The following is a 22,379-nucleotide window of genomic DNA, read 5'->3' as shown; positions in this document are numbered from 1 at the left end:
GTATACTACATATTCATAAAATACCTAGAATAATAAAGGAGGAAATGATAATTTTGTGTATACAACTATGTGGCTAAACTCATATTAGCCATCTTATTCCTATATTTAGGATTCTAAGCACTAAGATTTAAATGTAAATATGCTTATTTGGTGTCATATCATCCAAAATACAAATATAAACCACTTCAACATTGTGATAGGTGAATGCTATGGGTACAACCTTATTTTAGTGTTTCAAACAATTCAAAAGCTTCAAACAATTGTTTTCAAACAATTCATAGCTATGGAAACACTAACAAATGACTATTAATATTCACAAAGATATCTTCAAGTTCTTTATCACATACATCACTCAAGATTAGGAAAATACAATAAAAATATGAAAGAATTTTAGTAAAACTTACTTTGCAACCTCCGTGTTGGGCTCTCTCCATGGAGCTGTCTTCGTGGCATATATGGAGAAGGGTGGGGAAGTGGCAATGAAGAGACATCATGCGTCTGAAGTTTGTACCAATGTGGCTCATCATCTAATAATGCTGTTTCTAATTCAATTAAAATCTACAAACCCAAGAGACAAAGGACGGTTATAATATACCAATAATAAAGAAATTATGTTAAATGGTCCTATAACTTTTGTAGTAATAATTATAATAGTAATGCTATTACATGAAAAACAAGGTCATTTAGACGTTGCAAAATTGTCAATATGTTCTTGACAAAAAATAAACTTTTATAACTTCTTAGTGATTTAATAGTTTTAAATATCTAAGACATTTATTTTGTTGACCCTTGACTACCCACTACTAGAGTCTATCAAATTTACCATTACAAAAATAACACTTTTCATTTTAAATGACTGTAATAATAACTAATATTTGTATATCATTTTAGAATTTAAAAAGCATTTTTATTTAGAGTCAACCTAAATGGCCATCAGTGACGACTGGATAAAGAAAATATGGTACATATACACCATGGAATACTAAGCAGCCATAAAAAAGAACAAGATCATGTTCTTTGCAGGGACATGGATGGAGCTGGAGGCCATTATCCTTAGCAAACTAATGTGTGAACAAAAAACCAAATACCACGCATTCTCACTTTTAAGTGGGAGCTAAATGATGAGAAACACATGGACCCACAGAGGCAAATAACACGTACTGGGGCCTACCGGAGGGTAGAGGGTAGGAGGAGGGAAAGTATCAGGAAAAATACTAATTGGTATTAAGCTTAATACCTCGGTAATGAAATAATCTGCACAACAAACCCCATGAAACATGTTTACCCATGTAACAAACCTCCACATGTATCCCTGAACTTAAAAGTTAAAAAAAATTAACTCTTACAATTGAAGTGCCTACTGTGTATTAAGAACCGTGCCATATTCTCTGTCATAATTATTAAAAAATTACTAGCTTCGTCTTATTGTTTAATTTTCATAAGCAAAAGTACCAAGGCTAACAAAGGTTAAAAGAACTTGTCTAAGGTCACACCAGCTTGTAAGTGAAAGAGGTGTAAACTGAATCAGCCTGTCTTATTTAAAATTCTGTATTTATCATACTATCCTGCTAAAGATTTAAAACAAGAAAAGAAAAAAACAAGAACGGATTTTAAATATGAACCATATTATAATATAAATTTTATAATAGGAATATTTTTAAAATTTACCCAAAATGTAAGTCTGTAGAAATGAATGTCTATTTTTTTTAGGAGGTTGTGCAAGTGACAGTGTTTGTGCTTTGTGTTTACAAGAACTGCCACATAAAGATAAATTACTATTTATCTAAGGGAGGTAAAGAAGCAATACAGCCAAGTTAATATTTCATTCTTTATTTTTTGTTTTTGAGACAGGGTCTTGCTATGTCACCCAGGCTGGAGTGCAGGGGTGCAATCACAGCTAACTGCAGCCTCAAACTCCTAGGGTAAAGCAATTCTCCCACCTCAGCCTCCTGAGTAGCTGGCACTACTGTATGCACCACCATGCCTGGCTAATTTCTTTTTTTATTTATTTTTAGACATGGGGTTCTTGCTGTGTTACCCAGGCTGGTCTTGGACTCCTGGTCTCAAGCTATCCCCCTGTCTCCGCTTCCCAAAGGATTGGTATTACAAGTGTGAGCCACCATGCCTGGAGTTGTTTCATTCTTCCTAAATTTTCTCTAGTCATTTTCAAAATTATAGGTACTGTGTTCGAAAGGATTACAAACACACAATACAACACACTTATTTAATTCTCATATTAACCCTGAGTTGCATACTAGTATTATTCCTACTTGGCTGAAGAAGAAACTGAAGCACAGATGGGTTAAATAACTTGTTCAAAGACACAAGGCTAAGAAGTGGTAGTGCCAGGAATATAAACCCAGGCAGCTAGCTCCAGAATCTCTGCTCCTAACAACTGTGTGACCCTTCCTCCCAAAGGTCACACAAGGGATTTTAGCTTTTTTTTTTTTTTTTTGAGATGGAGTCTCACTCTGTCGCCCAGGCTGGAGTGCAGTGGCACGATCCTGGCTCACTGCAAGCTCCGCCTCCCGGGCTCAAGTGATTCTCTTGCCTCAGACTCCCAAGTAGTTGGAATTACAGGAGCCCACCACTGTGCCCAGCTAATTTTTGTATTTTTAGTAGAGACAGGTTTTTGCCACACTGGTCAGGCTGGTCTCGAACTCCTGACCTCAGGTGATCTGCCCCCCTCGGCCTCCCAAAGTGCTGGAAATACAGAAGGGTTTTTAGTTTTACCACTCTTTGGTTCCTTAGCTGACAACATTCACTTCAATATTTCTACAGATTGTTGTTTTTCCCATGAGATTACCATTTAATTTACTCAGAAAAAAAAAACTGATATAGTTTGGTTGTGTTCCCACCCAAATCTCATCTTGAATTTTAACTCCCACAATACCCTTGTGTCATGGGAGAGACCCAGTGGGAGGTAATTGAATAATGGAGGTGGGTCTTTCTCGTGCTGCTCTCATCATAATGAATAAATCTCACAAGATCTGATTGTTTTATAGAGGAGTTCTCCTGCACAAGTTCTCTCTCTCTTTGCCTGCTGCCATCCATGTAAGACATGACTTGCTCCTCCTTGCCTTCCACCATGACTGTGAGGCCTCCCCAGTCATGTGGAACTGTAAGTCTGTTAAAACTCTTTTTCTTCCCAGTCTCAAGAATGTCTTTATCAGCAGCATGAAAACGAACTAATACAATAAATTGGTACTAGTACAGTGAGACACTGCTAAAAAAAATACCTGAAAATGTGGAAGTGCTTTGGAACTGGGTAATGGGCAGGGGTTGGAACAGTTTGGAGGGCTCAGAAGACAGGAAAATGTAGGAAAGTTTGGAACTTCCTAGAGACTTGTTGAATGACTTTGCCCAAAATGCTGATAGCTATATGGACAATAAAGTCCAGGCTGAGTTATTCTCATATGGAAAGGAGGAATTTTTTGGGAACTGCAGCAAAGGTGATTCTTGTTATGTTTTAGCAAAGAGACTGGTGGCACTTTACCCCTGCCCTAGAGATTTGTGGAATTTTGAACTTGAGGGAGATGATTTAGGCTATCTGGTGGAACAAATGTTGAAGCAGCAAAGCATTCAAGATGTGACTTGGGTTCTGTTAAAGGCATTTAGTTTTATAAGGGAAGCAGAGCATAAAAGTTTGGAAAACTTGTATCCTGACAATGCGATAGAAAAGAAAATCCCATTTTCTGAGGAAAAATTCAAGCCAGCTGCAGAAATTTGCATAAGTAATGAGGGGCCAAATGTTAATCGCCTATCCGCAATGTGGAAAATGTCTCCAGGGCATGTCAGAGGTCTTCACGGCAGCCCCTCCCATCACAGGCCTGGAGGCCTAGGAAGAAGAAATGGTTTTGTGGGCTGGCCCCACGGTCCCTGTGCTGTGACACCAAGTATAGGGACTTGGTGATGTGCATCCCAGTTGCTCCAGCTGTGACAAGAAGGAGCCAAGCTACAGCTTGGGCCATGGCGTCAGAGGGTGCAAGCCCAAGCTTGGCAGCTTCCACATGGTGTTGAGCCTGCAGGTGCACAGAAGTCAAGAATTGGGATTTGGGAACCTCTGCCTAGATTTCAGAGGATGTATGGAAATGCCTGGATGTCCAGGTAAAAGTTTGTTGCTGGGGTGGGGCTCTCATGGAGAACCTCTGCTAGGGCAGTGCAGAAGGGAAATGTGGGGTCAGAGCCCCGGTACAGAGTCCCTACTGGGGCACCACCTAGTGGAGCTGTGAGAAGATGGCCACCAACCTCCAGACCCCAGAATGGTAGATCCATCTACAGCTTGCACTGTGCACCTGGGAAACCAACAGACACTCAGCGCCAGCCCATGAAAGCAGCCAGGAGGGGGGTTATACTCTGCAAAGCCACAGGGGTAGAGCTGCCCAAGACCATGGGAACCCACCTCTTGCATCAGCGTGACCTGGATGTGAGACATGGAGTCAAAGGAGATTATTTTAGAGTTTTAAGATTTGACAGCCTCACTGGATTTCAGACTTGCATGGGGCTTTGTTTTGGGCAATTTCTCCTATTTGTAATGGCTGTATTTACCCAATGCGTGTACCCCCATTGTATCTAGGAAGTAACTAACTTGCTTTTGATTACACAGTCTCATAGGCAGAAAGGACTTACCTTGTCTCAGATGAGACTTTGGACTTTGGACTCTGGACTCTGGACTTTTGAGTTAATTCTGAGTTAAGACTTTGGAGACTATTGGGAAGGCATGATTGGTTTTGAAATGTGACGACATGAGATTTGGGAGGGGACAGAATGGAATGATATGGTTTGGCTGTGTCCCCACCCAAATCTCCTCTTGAATTGTAATTTCCACAATTCCCATGTGTCGTGGGAAGGACCCAGTGGGAGGTAATCAAATTATGGGGGTGGGTCTTTCTCATGCTGTTCTCCTCATAGTGAATAAATCTCACGAGATCTGATGGTTTTATAAAGAGGAGTTCCCCTGCACAATCTCTCTCTCTCTTTGCCTGCCACCATCCATGTAAGACGTGACTTGCTCCTCCTTGCCTTCTGCCATGTGAACTGTAAGTACATTAAATCCCTTTTTCTTCCCAGTCTCGGGTATGTCTTTATCAGCAGCGTGAAAATGAATTAATATACCAACCACACTGAAAAAAGCTGAAAGTGAGTAACTTAGCATGCTAATAGCTGGATAATTGCTTCCCATCTTGCCCCTCTTCAATCATTCTCCACATTACAGCTGGAAATACTTTTCTCAAGTACAATCGAACCATTTTCTTTTTAAAGAAAATATGAGACTGGGCAAGATGATGAGACCCCATCCCTACAAAAAAACAAAATTAGCTGGGCATGGGGGTGGGTGCCTGTAGCCCCAGCTACTTGGGAAGCTGAGGCAGAAGAATTACTTGAGCCCAAGAGCTTGAGGCAGCAGTGAGCTATGACTGTGCCACTGTGACAAAGCAAGACTCCATAGAGAAGGGAAAGAGATAATTGGTTATTAGTCATTGGTTCCTATTATCGACCAGATAAATCCAAATTTGTTTATATATTAAGGGACATGCCCTGGTCTCAGTTTAAGTCTCAAACCTCATTTCTTACCATATTCCCTTCCAATTTCAATGCAATTGACCAAGATCTCCTCACCCTGATGCCTTCTTATTTCCTCTTCAGGAATTTCACTCCCCTTGAATTTGCTAAATTCCTCTCTCTTTGTGAAGACTTCCTTTGACCACCTGCCCTCCTCTGCACAGCAATTACGTATTCCTATTGCATTTTCCTCTTCATATCAATTGGCATGTTATATTCTAATTGCTATTCATGTGTCTGTATCACCAATGAATTGTAAATTCCTTGAAGTAAGTAACACTCCTTATTTACCTTTGAACGCTCAGTCTATAGCACAGTGCCTGTTACATTGTAGGGCTTGAAAATAATTCATAAATAAATGGTTTAACTACTTATTAGTGGTACAGTCTGTTCAGTAAACTACCAAGATATATACATATCACTATAAAACAAAGCAATATATTTGTGAAATACAAACCTTTTATCATTCAACACTGAGAGTTCTAAAATAAGAACTGACATGTAAAAACTGTCAGAATACGTAGAACCACTGTTTTCTATAGTATCAACTTTTGTCCTAAAGCAGCAGCTGAAATACATTCCATTAAAGAAATTGTGCCTACCTTTGCAGATATTCTACATCTATTATTTATTTATTTATTTATTTATTTATCTTTAATTATTTTTTTTTTGAGACAGAGTCTCGCTCTGTCACCCAGACTGGAGTGCAGTGGCGCGATCTCGGCTCACTGCAACCTCTGCCTCCCGGGCTCACGCCATTCTCCTGCCTCAGCCTCCCGAGTAGCTGGGACTACAGGCGCCCACCACCATGCCCGGCTAATTTATTTTTGTATCTGTAGTAGAGACGGGGTTTCACCATGTTAGCCAGGATGGTCTCAATCTTCTGACCTCGTGATCCGCCCCCCTCGGCCTCCCAAAGTGCTGAGATTACAGGCATGAGCCACCATGCCTGGCCTATTCTACAAATGAAATTATACTGACAGTTATATAAATAAAAGTATTCAGGATAACATGAATAGCATAAACTTTAAAACAACTCCAGATACCTCGCCTAAGAATTCACTTTCTTCCTCTCGAACACGAGCTTGATCCCAAAGGGTAATCTCTAGCATTCGTTCCCGAAATTCTCTTCGGTGGACTGGAGAATAAATGAATGTTTGGTTCCATTTGGGTTCCAATGTTTTCTTTACTGTTTTAGTTCTTCTCTTGTTTTTATCACTATGGAAAAAAACAATGAATTATGAACTTACATAGAACTATAAGTTTTGTCCTAAAATTTTTTAATTTAAAATTTCTCAGGAGACAAGTCAGGTGAAGTTTTACCATAAAATTATCATACATTGCAAATGTTATAACCTTTAAAATTATTATGAAAATTTTAAGGTGTATACTATATCACACTTTATAGGTATGACAATAATAGCAATGTTTCAATAAATGTTAAATTTTTTCCATGACATATTATTGAAAACTGAATATTTCTCAAAATCTAAATAAAACCAGACTTGAGAATCTTAACTCTATAATTTTTTTAAAATATCACCCTATTGAAAATCTTCTAAATGATAATTAACCAGTAACATTACATATACTATTCACTTAAACTACAGAAGTCATGTTACAAAAAGATGAGTAAATTGTGATATTCACAACTTCTTATCTATAAAGTTCTAGCTAATGACCAATGATAATTTATTTTTTATAAAGATACTTTTTTAAATATAAGAAATTCATATTTATTTGACATACATCTGGTATTTTAAAACACTGTACATTTATTTCTATGTGAGCTAGTCACCACAATGTGGGTTGAAAATGCAAGATAACCATCCCAATAAATGGCATTGCCAGCTCAGAGGTTTTCATGTTCTTTTTCGTTGTATATCTCTGTACATGTGTTACCATACTGTTATACTAATATATTGTCCATATTGGGAAATATACTAAAACAGAAACCAAAAATAATAAAGTAAAAATTTTTAAACATTCAAATATTTCTTCCTGACCATGAAAGGATTATCCTATATATCACCTAGGGTACATCCAACCTATTTGGAGATCATTACTCTTGCTTATTAGACAGGATCACTGGCTGGATAGGAATACAATTTTCTAGGAAATACAATTTAAGCTACCTAAGAGAACTATTTAAAATGACAGACAAACTCCAATTAGAACAGTATCAACTGCTACAAATTATCTCAGCACAACACAGTTCCAAGAGTTTTGGGAAACAGGGAGGAGAGAGAACAAAGAAGGGGTAGAACTGTTTCTGAAATTGGGAAGTAATGCAACTTCTTCTCATTGGAATTTTAAGTTTAATATAGATTTTACTTGAATGATGAAGAGGTATTATATGTTTCCAGAGCACACATATATAACATGGCAGAAAGATGACATTAAATACACTAATTAATAATGAATTTTGCTAATACACATGGAAAAGATAACATGCAATGTAGCTTTATTAACCACGAAGGCATTGGCAGAAAAATGACAATGCAAACCCATGTAGGAGATTTTATCTCTATACATGGAAAGAAGTGATAATGTGTATGGGAATAACTTATCTGAAACAAGGACTGTGATGTATGATCTTTCTCTCCCTCCTTTCGTTTATAGCTTTAACAAATATTTATTTAACATCTACTCATATATCATTGACGAAGAATGAATTCTGAGACCCTGTCAAAAGATAAAGTTCCTTCCACGAAGGCCAGGATGAAAGTATTTAACCAGAGCCTTGCTATTTAATTCGAGAATGGTTTATCTGGCTGGGGGTGGTGGCTCACACCTGTAATCCCAGCACTTTGGGAGGCCGAGGCGGGTGGATCACGAGGTCAAGAACTCGAGATCATCCTGGCCAACATGGTGAAACCCCGTCTCTACCAAAAATACAAAAAATTAGCCAGGAACGGTGGCAGGTGCCTGTAATCCCAGCTACTAGGGAGGCTGAGGCAGGAGAATTGCTTGAACCCGGGAGGTGGAGGTTGCAGTGAGCCGAGATCGTGCCATTGCACTCCAGCCTGGGCAAAAAGAGTGAAACTCTGTCTCAAAAAAAAAAAAAAAGAATGGTTTATATCAAAATCTGAAAGGAAAAAGAAAAGTAAGTCATGAACTTCCTCGTAAGGACAGAAAAAAGTTCTCAGATAAAGAATGAAAATTTTAGACAGGATTTCTATATTGGATAGGAAGAGGAATAGACAATCTCTGAGGTTTCTTATAAGTTATATATGATTACAATTTAATAAGGCAATTTAGTATGTACCCAAGCACCAATTCACAAAAAGAACTATGAAAAATAACCTTATCTTCAGCAAGTTAAAAAAATGAGTTTTACTTTCTCTAGAAGTATAAATAAAGCCTTTAGAATCAAAGCATACTGCATAAGTCAAACACTGAAAAGTTGCTAAAAATATTTAAACACTAAGATCAATAAGCATGCTATAGAGATCATTTTAAAATAAAAGCCTAATTATAATAAAATAAATGATCTTTTAATGAATCATCAAATTGCTAAGAAGGTAGTTAACTTTTTTTTAAAAAATAAAATCCAACCTAATCCTTTTTTAAAAATTTATTTTCACGTTACTAGGACTTTGGTTTCCATTAAATGTAATTTAGTAACAGCATGCAAACACTTGATGTTTTTACTTAAAATTAGAAGAAGAAATATATTTGAACTAGTAACTAACTTCAAGATACAAAAAAAGAGTATAAAACAAGCCCAGTTATTTTTTAGAGTACACAGTACATTACCTAGAAAATAATTTTCACATGGCTTAACTGAAATTCTATACTAGATTTCTTCTATGTAGTCTCCCTGGCCCCTCTAAAAAGACTCATCAATAAAAAGGCATCAATTGTTTTCTGTTTACTTGTTCAAGTATTTCTTTCAAAAAAATTGTCAAAAAAATTAATAATTCATAACAAAAGCACAAACAATCCTTTATTAATGTGTAAAAACTTGTGTCAACCACAAATAAAAAATTGTTAAGATGATAATGTAACTTTTTGAGTTAGGCAGAGAATTCTTTTCACTATTACAGATGAAACCTTGACACAACCTAATCAATAAAGTAAGCTATAAAATTTATCTAAAGAATCTTCAAATTCCTGATAAATAACAAGGAACTCAGCTAAGAAATAATCTGAGAAGGAAACACTGAAATGCCTCTCACATTCCTTGGTGTTGACAAAAGATAAAAAATACTACATCCGGAATATAAAGGACTGGTTAAGAAGAGCTTCCATTTCATCTTTTACTCTTTTTTTTATTTGAGATGGATTCTTGCTCTGTTGTCAGGCTGCAGTGCAATGCCGCATGCAATCTCAGCTCACTGCAACTTATGCCTCGCAGGTTAAAGCAATTCTCCTGTCTCAGCCTCCCGAGTAGCTGGGATTACAGGCACCTGCCACCACTCCTGGCTAATTGTGTGTGTGTGTGTGTGTGTGTGTGTGTGTGTGTGTGTGTGTGTGTCAGAGTCTCGATCTGTTGCCCAGGCTGGAGTGCAGTGGTGCGATCTCGGCTCACTGCAACGTCTGTCTCCCAGGTTAAAGCAATTCTCCTGCCTCAGCCTCCCGAGTAGCTGGGACTATAGGCACCTGCCACCACGCCTGGCTAACTTTTTGTATTTTTTAGTAGAGACGGGGTTTCACCTTGTTAGCCAGGATGGGCTCGATCTCCTGACCTCGTGATCTGCCCACCTCGGCCTCCCAAAGTGCTGGGGTTACAGGCATGAGCCACCGCGCCTGGCCAATTTTTTGTATTTTTAGTAGAGACAGTGTTTCACCATGTTGGCCAGACTGGTCTCAAACTCCTGACCTCAGGTAATCCACCCGCCTCGGCCTCCCAAAGTGCTGGGATTACAGGCATGAGCCACCACACCCGGCCATAGAGATAGGGTCACATTACGGTGCTCAGGCTGGTCTTGAACTCCTCACCCCAAGTGATCCTGTGATTACAGGCATGAGCCACTGCACCCAGCCTAGAAGAGCTTCCATTTTAGCTCTATCTGGTCAGAATACAGAAAGAGGGGTTACATAAAAATAAAACTAAGCAAAAATAGTCACGAAAGAAATTCAGTAATTTGCAAGACTTTAATCGTCTTAAAAATATGTTTCTCTTCAAAATTTTGAGTAAGTAGAAACTTAAGTAATGTGCACAAAAGCATAGATGATTATGGATGACCTCTTCCCTTATAGTTCCACATGTATCTCTCTCCAAAAGACAACCTAAATTGTTAAAAACAGCTTTCTTAATCAAACTTTATAAGATAAAATTATATAGCAAACAGTTTCTAATAACTTTTGATGTTGTGGCATCTTGATATATCCTGAAGAATCTGATATACAGCTTTGACTTCAAAATATGTATCAAATAAAATGCAAAGCCTTTGTTCATTGTCTATTCTTTTGTCCTTTTCTTTGCTGAGATTGTTGTTCAGGTGACACTTTGGTACCCAACTCAACCTTGACTTTCTACTTGAACTAAATAACTAAATCAATGAGATTCCAAAAGCGTATAAACATATTTAACATCACATCTGTGCCTATCCACTTTCAACCTGAGAAAAAATAAAGAGATCTTGAGAGCACTCTGCCGTGGGAGGCAGGGATGCAGACAGATAATTGGGGAAAGGTAACTGGTATTATTTCTTCTTTCTTTTTTCATGATGCCTATTGAATAGTCTCTTTTATTTTTTATATGCCTGAAATTCAGAGTGATTAGATTTGTTTTCAGATAAAATATTTCTCCAATCAAATCAGGGTAGAACAAAAAGAAAAAAAAATAAGGGTAGAACAATACCATTTATATTGATTAGAAGAGACACAAAACAAATAATGCTTGAAGAAGGTGATTCTGGGACTTGTGGTAAGTTTTCTTGACGATATAAGGTGATGATACAAAACAACTTGTTAAATTTATAGAATAGAGAGAAATAATATCTTGGTAAGAGGAAGTAGAAATTGTATTAAAATGAGTACTTTTTAGTAGTATTTTTAGCTTTTTTACTAAAAAAGCTAGTATTTTTGACTAAAAATTCTAGTATTTTAGCTTTTTGATTCTATAATTTGTGTTAAAAATTTGATTTTAGGAAGCATAACTTTTAATGATTTTGAATAATGAAAATATATACAAGAAATAATACACACATGCCTAAAATTAATATTCAAAATCACATATACGACATGTGAGTTTTAAAAAATCTTATTTACTGTCACTATTTTGTTTCCTAAGAACATCACGTTTATGTTAAACTTCACATATCTCACTAGTATGATACCAATAAATGATACAGAATTGAAATACCCATTGCTATGAACATTTTCTCATTTATTTTCCAGAACATTTATTTTGTTTTATATCCTTACCTTCTGTCTGGAAGAAAGTAAATTTTAACATAAGGATTCCTTGGCCTCCCATCTTCCCTGGAAGGGAGATCTTTTGCTCCCAAAATTGTAACTATTAATTGGTGACCAACCTTGTCAAACCATAGTTTTATCTGAAAAGCAAAAATATTCATTTATCAATTCAAACATTTACTACACAAACACAATGTTTACTTTTCCAATCTTCACCCCATTCTCTTACAATAACATTAGCACAGAATATAAACTTTACTTAGTAAATTGTGGCTAGTTAAAATAAAAGGATATACTATAATAACTTCAATGAATAAAAGAATGATTCAGACATTTCAGTTTGACTGATCAAGCATGTGGGCTTTTTATTATCTTAATGTGATTGCTTATTAACATGCAAATAATTACATTATCATAATTAAGGACTTTATATACAATGACTGATCTGTATCTTTACTTATGCAAGAATCACTAGTTCATTTTGGTTCCCCTACAATACTGAGTTCAGAATAAGTGCTCAAAATGAATTGAGTAGATAGTATCCTGTTTATATAACATTCATAGGGAATTTTTAAGTAAATGTTTTATGTTGTTTCACAGTTAAAAACATTTAAAATATTATAGGCAAAAGGGATTTACTAGTAGCTTTAGTCAATAGATTCCTTCAGTTTGAACTTAAAATGATAATGAATTCATCTTTAAAATTTTTCCTTATTCAGACATTAAGTCTCATTCTTTTGTGAAGTTGATGAATAATATCCTTAGGATAAAAGAGTACATTTTATTATTTGAGATAAGAAAATGAGAACAATTTCCCTGTGCCATAATTAGGGAAGGGAACTTCATATCCAACTGCTGAATTCACTTGATTTAACAGTTATCACCTCCCACACACATACCTCACACCTGCACACCTAGCTGTCTGATTCTATGTCAGGATCTATGATAATTACGGCTCTGATCCATATCTTGGCCCAGAACTCAGCACATACCTAACCACTATGTTGAGACTGAAATGGACAGAAATTTGGAACTTGAGAATAACAGTTAAAAACCACTACTGGTTATACATGAAACACTGGCAGTTCAGTTCCAATTCCAACATAGCTTTGTCGAGTCCCTCACTTCATATCCTAGAGTATGAGACACCGAGCAACTTTTGAGTCAGAAAAGGTAAACTGACAGCCCAAAAAAGTATATAAAATTATTTCTATCTTTTTTTTTGCCAAATGGAATCAGCCCTTTTATAGGAATAAGAGTAAGAAATATCCAAATTATTTAAATTATAGTTACCAATTTAGCTGCTAAATACAAAAATAGACCCTAGACAAGTATTTCTCAAATTGTGATTAATAAACTTTCCATGTCAGTATTATCTCACTTATTTATTATAAAGTTATAAATTCCTGGGGCCCACTTCTCACCTACTGAATCAGAATGAGGCCCTGGAAGTTGGATTTTAACAAGTCCTCTGGTGATCCTCAAGTGCATTAAAATTTGAGAACCACTGCCTTAGATTAAGAGATTAACAACTTGAAGAAAAAAGTCTCCAAAATACTAAAGGAAAACAGTTCAAATATTTGCTTGTCTAATAATATTAGAACATAGATACAGATAAGAAAAACGGGCAAAAAAGAGACTATTCTTCTGGCAAAAGACATAAGTGAAAAACAAAGAAAGAAATGCAGGAGTGTTTAATTGTATATGAGATCAAAGAGGTGTTATAGATAGTATCATGGTTCTAAATGTGTGACAAAAACCCAACTGATTTCTATGGTATTCTCTATTTTCACCAGTTTTAAAGAGTTTATGGCTTCATTTTTTCTGAGACATTAAAAAGCTTTCTCTGAGGGTCATGACATGAATATTAAGGCCTCAAAGGAAAAAAAAATTCTGCAATTTATTTCCAATAAATGTTACATTTAAGAAACAAATAATAATTATTATGAGACTAAGCTAAAAATTATTAGAGCAAATTATTGATTTCTATGAGAACCTTTTGGGGGGTTAAACTAAGTACTTGTTGCCATCTCCACCATCAACATTTTTTCTCCTTTAAAATCATTAAAACTAGCATTTGAGATATATATTTCAAAAGTCTGATAGAGAGTATTCTTTTCAGATTTCCTTATGCCATGGAAAACCTGAATATTATCAGTTACTAATATTATCAATTTCTCATACAGAGTAAACATATGGCTTTCATATTTTTGGTATAATATTTTAGAGTTTACTAAAGTATAAATTACAAATGTGCAAATATTAAAGTAATTTAAATAGCAAATAGGCATATTTTAACTTTACTAATTATTTGACCAAAATTACACCTTTTAATAGACTGCCTTAAACTGAGTATTTGAATATAGCACTAATTTTTATTTATATTATAGGACTTGCATTGAAGTTTTTTATAGATATCCAGTTCACATAATCAAAACAGATTTTATTAGGTACATCACTTTATAACATTCTTAATTTCTTATCTGTGCTTTTTAAATAAGTGTTTAAAATATAGCTGTTGATTCCCCCAAATATAACAAACATATCTTCACAATTCTGGTCCTGACATAGTTCCTGTTCAGCCCCAATTTCATTAATAAAAATATTAGTATAATTTAAATTGTTTTAAAATATTTCTCATTCTGGCTTTAGCATGTAACTATTTTTAATTTTCCTAAGTAGGACCTAAGCAGCATAGGTAAATATTTTATATTGTATAATATTAACAAGAATAATTTAATTTTAAAAATTTAAACAAAATAAGTATTACTCAGAAGCAACAAATTTTTTAAAAACAACATGCAGCAAAGCAAGGAGAGCATAATACTACTTAAAAAAAACTATATTGCCATTACTTTACCATATAAGGGTTTCCTAATGAAAAGAGGCAAACAACTTGTACCCAAGTATTACATAAAATTAAATAAAACAATGGCAAAATGTTAACAAAATAAATCCAACTTATTTTATTTGGATTATAATTTTGTTCTTTCAAAGCAAAATACTTTCCAAAAACTGAACCTTATATATAATATGTGTAAAATTCATATTTTAAGTAAGGTACAAATTTATTTGCCAATCTCCTCAAGGAGTTATAACTTGGAAAATGCAAGAGAATATAGATGTTAAGTGACATAATGAGTGATTTAAAGAGACAGCAACCTTAGTGTAATAAAGGAAAATATCAACAGCATAAAATTAGCTATTTCTGTAAATGTCATATATATGTAGAATCTACATTAAATCTACATTAAATGCCATTTTGAAATCTATAAGGTTTAATATTTAGTTTATCATATAAAATCACTAACAAAGATTGTCTCTTTAAATTTTTATTCAATATTCTAATCCCCATGCAAAATTTTACAAGCTGGCTAATAAAATGATTTGAAAGTCAATAATATGATTTGGAGCAACATAACAAAAAAAGTTTTCCTACTAACGCATTTTCCAAAAACATACAAATAGGGTTAAACACAACTTTAGTTTCTATCAGGCAGACAAGGCCTTTACCTGAACCCTAGGAACAAAAGGCGTTGTTCTTCTACTAAGGCTTTGGCTCTGGTAAGCAAAATTAAAGAAAAAAGCAATAAAACAAAACCAAAAAGGACAACACGCTGGAACTAAAAGACCAAAAGTAAAAACAAACACATACAACTATCCCTTAAATACAATTTTTCCATGACAATATTTATCAAAATTAAGTACTTCAGTGTGATGAATAAATTAATTTTGTCCAATGCCAAAAAACATTAAAAACTATACAAAATATTAGAATTTGTATAATCCAATTTTTCAAATGTAGTTCACATAACAAGAATTAAGACTGGATATAAAATAATATATTTGGGCTCATGTACTTTGAAAGAATGATTATAAGCATAACCCAAGAATCAATAAATTTCATATTTTATCCTTAAACACACTACATAAAAAATAGAATAGTGCAAAAAGAAGTTAGTTGAAAATGTATTACAGAGTCATTAGTGAAAAGCCATCTGTGGAAGTAATTGTGTGACTTCTCCAAAGTATGTCTACCCAAAGTCCAAAAACTATTAGCCAAGTTGGCTTTAGAATTTCTTAAAAGAATAAACACATTAAAATAAAAGTGTGCAGAAATACGTTGGACTAATTAGTTGATTCATACTTGGTGAATCCCTATCAGGTTCTAGTATTGAAACACCATCATCAGATATTTATTATGTATCACTCAAGATAACACTGCTTACTGCTAATCACACCTATTAATGACAATATCTTGTTTCTTTTTGCTTATACAGTTCGTTATACTTTTCCAAGCCTTTATTGACAGTTTATTGTAAGTTTATTGCCTCATGGTATGTCCAACAACCTTATGAGGTAGTTGCTTCTACTTACAATTTGTAGATGAGGAAACACAGAAAAGGGCTAGTCATACTTGCCCATACTCAAACAAAAAGCAAGATAGTGTAAAGACAGAAAATATAACCCAGTTCTAATTAAATAACTAAATCAAACTCTCAGAATCAAATCAAATTTCTTTTCTCTTACTGACTTTTGTTTTCATGTTGAAACAGTTTCCAAAAGACATCACAATAATCAGAATGTTGTGCCTTTATTAGGCATTCCAACAGTTAATCAGAACATAATCAGGTTTGGGAATGGATTTCAAGGCATTTAATTCTGCTTCTATCACCAAGATTCCATCCCATTCCTCACATTTCTTATGGATGTCTCTCTTGCCTACTTCAAAATCATAAATAGTTAAAGGCTTCTCTCTTTCCACTGCTAACTGGAAACAGATAATGAGTACTAGGAGTACTTTTGCTCAATTCAGTTGGCATTGAACAGACACGTTTATTTAAGACATAAATCTAAAACCCAAAGGAAAGCAGACTTAAAAGCAGACTGTCATTCAGTCATGAGTCATCTTTCTCTCTCTCTCAATCTCTCTCTCTCTGTCTCTGTCTCTTTCAAAACCAAGGCAGTTTCAAATCTAAGCTGTCTTCCTTTTTATGTGGAAATATTCCCAAAGGAAGAAAGAAATATTCAGATGTGGAGTGTGTTACTGATGTCTGTTGGCATAACCACAGGCTATTATAATGCTTTAGCAAATGACAGAGGGGATATATGAAATTCATAGAGAAATTTGGCATGTTGAAGAAAGGGACTAAACAAGGTACTTTAGAAATACATTTTATTTCCCCTGTCTTCCTACCTGTTTTGTTTTAGACCAAAAATATTAACGTTACAGAATATTTTTACAAGTAAATATTATGTCATAAAATAAAAGATTCACTTTAAAAGGAATACTTTCAAATAAATTAATCCTTTAAAAGCAAACATTTTTCCATGTTCTAAAATGAACTCAGACATGCATCTCACAGACTTCTGAAATCAACCTTCTGAAACCTATGGCAATTTACACCTAATCTTCACCCATGAGTTTATATTTTAAATATGGCTATAAAAATATATTTTTGCGTTGACAATATTTTTTCAATTAAGGTAAAATTCACAAAACATACAACTGACTATTTTAAAGTATACAATTCAGTGGCAATTACTGTGTTCAGAATTCTGTGGAATCACCACCTCCTTCCAGTTTCAAAATATTTTCATCATCCCAGAACACTCTGAACTTTACGTAATCACTCCCTACTTTTCCATCTCGCTGTCCATTAGTAACCACTGCTTTCTGTCTCTATGGATATTTCAGATAGGGATGGCAAACTACTATGTGTCTCACTGTAATTTGTAATTACTATTAATTCATTTATTGTAAGCATGAGAGACCTGATGATCTCTATAACAATTCAGGCTTCATACAAATGAAGAATCTGAATTTGTACCCCACAATTCATTTTGCATTTTTAATGTCACTTTCCACTATTAATTGCACTACTATCTTTAGAACATTCCTTTCATACAATACTTTCAGAATAACAAAGTTATGACAATGAAATGTAAAAGATAAAAGCTCAAAAAAACCTGTCATTTATAGAAAGTTTTTAAAAGGCTATGGAGTTTCTAGGGAGATAGAAAGGACACATACCTCTCCTTAAATTATGTATTCCTTTTAAATGGGCATATAAAATGGATATTTGTAATATTTACTTAAAATGGAGTCAAAAGATATTTTTAAAAGTAACTTGGAAAAACACTGCAACCGTAAATCAACCACAGATCATGAAGTGAATGAAATAAAATATGATTATCAATAGTATCAACTGTGTAATATGTTTCCACAGAAAGAGAATTCTGAGCCTTTTCTCACTTTGAAAATAATTGAAAGCTATATTTTCTTATAACGCCCTATTATAAAACTAGCCAAAGACTACAAACTAATTAAAACTATTAAGAACTACAAAAGTAATCCACAGAAGGAAAAAACTGCTAAATTCTGGAAGAACACATATTAAAAATGGAGTCCTAATAAGGGAGTGCTGTCAGTGAAAATGCTAACAAACAGCCTACTTGGCATAAACCCGAACTCATGCTGATTTTCTTCACCAAAAACATTAATGGCATTTTCACTGTTATGCTCTAGAATAATAAGCAGCAGGACAATTCAAGCATGGAGAAAAAATAAATTGCATACATTTAAAAAAATCAACAGCCTTGAGCATGAAAATGTAAACAACGAATTTACATTACATGTTTTTTTATAATCACCTCCTTTGAGAATGATATTATATGTATATATTTTCTATTTGAGACATGAACTGACAGAATATTAGGAAGGTCAGCTCACATACTATAGAAATTATCATTGTTCTCAGGCATTAGCAGTTTCATAATTTTGTAAGTGAAGTATGGGCCCAAGTAAAAACTAACCAAAAGCAAAAATGTCCAAAGGTAGAAAAGAATGAAAAAGGAATTGTCATGTTGGTTTATGACTTCCTAGTTTTCCTTAGGGTTGATATATGTAGATATATTTTTCCAACCTCTACATCATTAGAGCAAACCAAAATTGTCTCCAGGCTGATAGAGACAGGATTAAATATAAAGGGAACTATTATATACAAGATAGCATCTTAGTTATGTTTTCCTGGATGCAAAAATATAAGAATAAAATTCATAAATTACATGAAGGTAAAAACTTGTATTTGCAGTGACTAGCACTATACCTGATGTGGGGGTCAAAACTTAACATATATTTCTTAAGTAGATGATTGGAGTTTAATTAGGTAAAATCATTTCTGAAGGAAAAATTTGAAAATAGATTTCAAGAATCCTAAAATTTTCCTTTGCCTTTTATATTGTAATTTTATTTCTGGAAGGTTATTCTGACAATTGAATTTTGTCCTAACAAAAATATTCCAGATTTATATTCAAGGATTTCCACAGTATCATTATTCATAAAAATATAAGTTAGAAACAAGCAAGATAACCTATAATAGTGATTTAGGTTGCAATGAAGTATTAAAATGGCTATTAAAACAATTTTAAGAGGAATTTTTAAGGACAGGAAAAAGTCCACAATATTACTAAGAGAAAAATCAGGATTCGAAAGAGTATTTCTTTTTAGTTTTGTTTAAAAATTTATATGTAGTGAATGGTTATATTTCAGTGTCAGGATTATAGGTGATTTTATGTCTTATTAATTTTCTGTACTTTCCAGATTTCCCACAATAAATATGCAGTATATTTATAACCAATATTTTTTATATATGTGGGTGGGGTATGGGTATATGTGTGAACAATTTCAAAACATATACAGCTAAAAGTTTTACTACTAATATCATAGTGGAACATATTCCTTCCAAGTCATAAGAAAAGGAGAAAATAGTACACATTTTAAATTACAAAATCACTTATAAATCTAAAGACTATAACTTTACATCATTATACATAAATTTAGAAGTGAAACTTCTACATTTATATTTCCCCCAAATATTTAACAGATGTACCTTTTACCATATTAATTTTGAACCATGAAGAAAAATAGTTGAATTTGAAATTTGTCTAAATCCCTGACCTATGCTTCTCATCCTCCCCTCCTAGTCCAATCTGTAATAAGACCTTGGGATTCAAATGAGATAACAAAGTGATACTTACTTATTATAGAAATCTAACTTCCACTCCTTCTTTACCAACTCAAGCAAACTATACATACACACAGACACAGACAGACAGACACGCACGCACACACACACACAGTTTTATTTATGGACTGGGATCATCCAGCCCCAAAAACATTATTTAAGGACGAACTATTGAAATGGATCCATAATAAGAAACAACATTTATTAGCATTTTATAGTATAGTAGAAGAAAATACACATTTTTAACTATAAATGACAACATATGGGCTGTCGATATATGTAAGAATAAGTAGAAAGATGCTACTTATTTTGTAGACTTGAAAAAAGACCACTGGCCTCAAATGAAAAAGTTCACTCTGTTTATGAAATACAAAGGAAAAAAGATAATAAAGGAAGAAATATATTTTAGTGGAACATTTACAATCTCCTAATAGCATCACATATTCCTTACATAACTTTTCTGTTATTGTCACCTTTATGGTCAAAATCATTCTAAAAAAGACATGTCTAATGATTTTTTTAATAACTTCAAATGAACTTTTTTCCTTTTTGCATATACTTCCTATAACTCCTTTTAATTAATGAAAATACTTCAGAAAAATCAAATACTACCCTTTCCTCCCCACCCACCCCCAAAAAAAACCAAAGGAGAAATTTCATAGCTAATTTAACAAAAAGCTATCTTTTTTGGGCTTAAAATATCAGCCTCAAATAATTTAGTTTTTAACTGTAACTTTTTTTTAATCCAAAATTCAAGGTCTGAATTTTGACAACCTAAACAGCTTTTTAATACTCATGAAATTTCAAGTTTAGTAATCAACAACAATACTGGTAATATTAACCTGTATTTTTCTAATATATAACAATAAATTTATTATTTCACTATTTTAAAATGGTTTAATGAGGGAATTACAACAGAACAAACGAATAAAAAGTAAAGACTTAGATTTGTAAAGTTTCTCTAATATCAACACAATATAAAATTCATAAATGAACATTTAAGTTTTATTTTAAAATGTTCAAATCAGGGATCACTTAATGTGCAAAGTTATCTGAAGTATTTAGCAATCCATTATATATTTCTCTATTTCATTTTGTCTATTGACAAAAATATCTCAAGTATCATTTTATTTCATAGCAATATTCAACTCCAATGATTACTATGAGCTGACACCAAATATCCTTAAAGTTGAAAAGCAGTGAAGAATACATGTTTACTTTTATCTGAAATACCATCTTTATATAGTGCAACATTTTTATTTCTCTTAAAAATCTATGACAATTTATAGTCATCTTAAGGTATAGAGCAAAAATTATGAACTTGAATTTTGTTATAATTACTAACATAAAAAAGTTTAGGTACCTTTACAAAATGTAACTTTTATTAAATTTCAGTAAATCTAACTCTTAATAAATGAAGCAGTATGATAAATAATCAAAATTGGATTTCAAAAATTAAAAGAATGAGAAAGTGGGAGGTTAAAAGCACAATTATGTTCTAGGAATAACTTGGTTTGTAAAAAACAAGCATCATATTTTAAAAACACTATTTGATATTCCAAAAAGAAGAGTAAACGTAATGACTACATACTGAAAGTTGTCCTGATAAGAACTGTGGGACATCCCTCAACATTCCAGGACTCATGGGAGAGGTAACAGAAATAGAAGGACGATCCATTTTTTGAGATTCAAAGGAGCTAGAACCTGAAACGATAATTACACATAACGAATAATAACAATGGCTCTTCACAAGTATTTAGTAAGTTTTGCCATATATCTTTTAAATTATTTATTTTTTTGATGTCCACAAGGTGTCATTATATAGACCATTTCTTAGACAAAACATTCCAAATATTCTTAAAGGGTTTTTTTGGAAGCCAAAGGGCACTATAGGGATTCTCTTAAGACTAACAGTGAACCATTTTCTGTGCCAGTTATAGTAGAGACAGACCTCTACCTCAGGACTTAGTTATTATCTGTTAAGTGTACTATATTCATATCTTACAATGACATATTAAGAAAAATTTAAAAGTAGAAACAAGGAGTAATCAAAACATAAATCATTAAAGCAACTGAAAGACAGACTACATTTGCAAACATTAAGAAAATAAGTGCAAAATTATTAAATTTTTAAAACGATGTCTGGCAGAATATAACAAACTGGCAGAAAGAAGTGAGGGGCATGAAAAAAAGGAATAAAATGTTAAATATTTATTGTCACTATTTTGATTCTTGGGGACAAGAACATTCCCTGTATGTCTGTCGTGTTCTCTCGACAGAACATTGCTGATATTCATTGAGATTCAGAACACTGGGGAAGACCTGTTTTTGTTGTTGTTGTTGTTGTTGTTGTTGTTGTTGTTGTTGTTGTTGCTTTGAGACAGAATCTCATTCTGTGGCCCAGGCTGGAGTGCGGTGGCGTGA

At 33.8% G+C, this 22,379-nt stretch overlaps 1 protein-coding gene across 64 annotated transcripts in view; it reads right to left on the bottom strand.

Moving 5' to 3' along the window:
- Positions 1–22,379, bottom strand: part of RIMS2 (regulating synaptic membrane exocytosis 2) — a 755,485-nt gene that overhangs the window by 312,764 nt on the left and 420,342 nt on the right. For 52 of the 64 annotated variants that reach the window (NR_145710.2, NR_145711.2, XM_017014016.3 and 49 more), the window contains 4 exons: positions 21,547–21,659; positions 11,938–12,068; positions 6,609–6,780; positions 405–558 (listed from right to left, as the gene is read on the bottom strand). Coding sequence is in view for 62 of the 64 variants with exons in the window: in XM_017014016.3 (XP_016869505.1) it covers positions 405–558; positions 6,609–6,780; positions 11,938–12,068; positions 21,547–21,659 (570 nt within the window). In the remaining 2 variants the exon portion in view is untranslated. Of the gene's footprint in view, positions 1–404; positions 559–6,608; positions 6,781–11,937; positions 12,069–15,441; positions 15,490–21,546; positions 21,660–22,379 lie in introns of all 64 variants that reach the window. The other 12 variants (XM_017014015.3, XM_017014010.3, XM_017014009.3 and 9 more) reach the window with 1 other exon arrangement.

This window comes from Homo sapiens, chromosome 8, assembly GCF_000001405.40.
Source record: "Homo sapiens chromosome 8, GRCh38.p14 Primary Assembly".
Lineage (NCBI taxonomy): Eukaryota > Metazoa > Chordata > Mammalia > Primates > Hominidae > Homo > Homo sapiens.
Note: the sequence above shows the minus strand (reverse complement) of the source record. Positions and strands in the feature narration are given on the sequence as shown.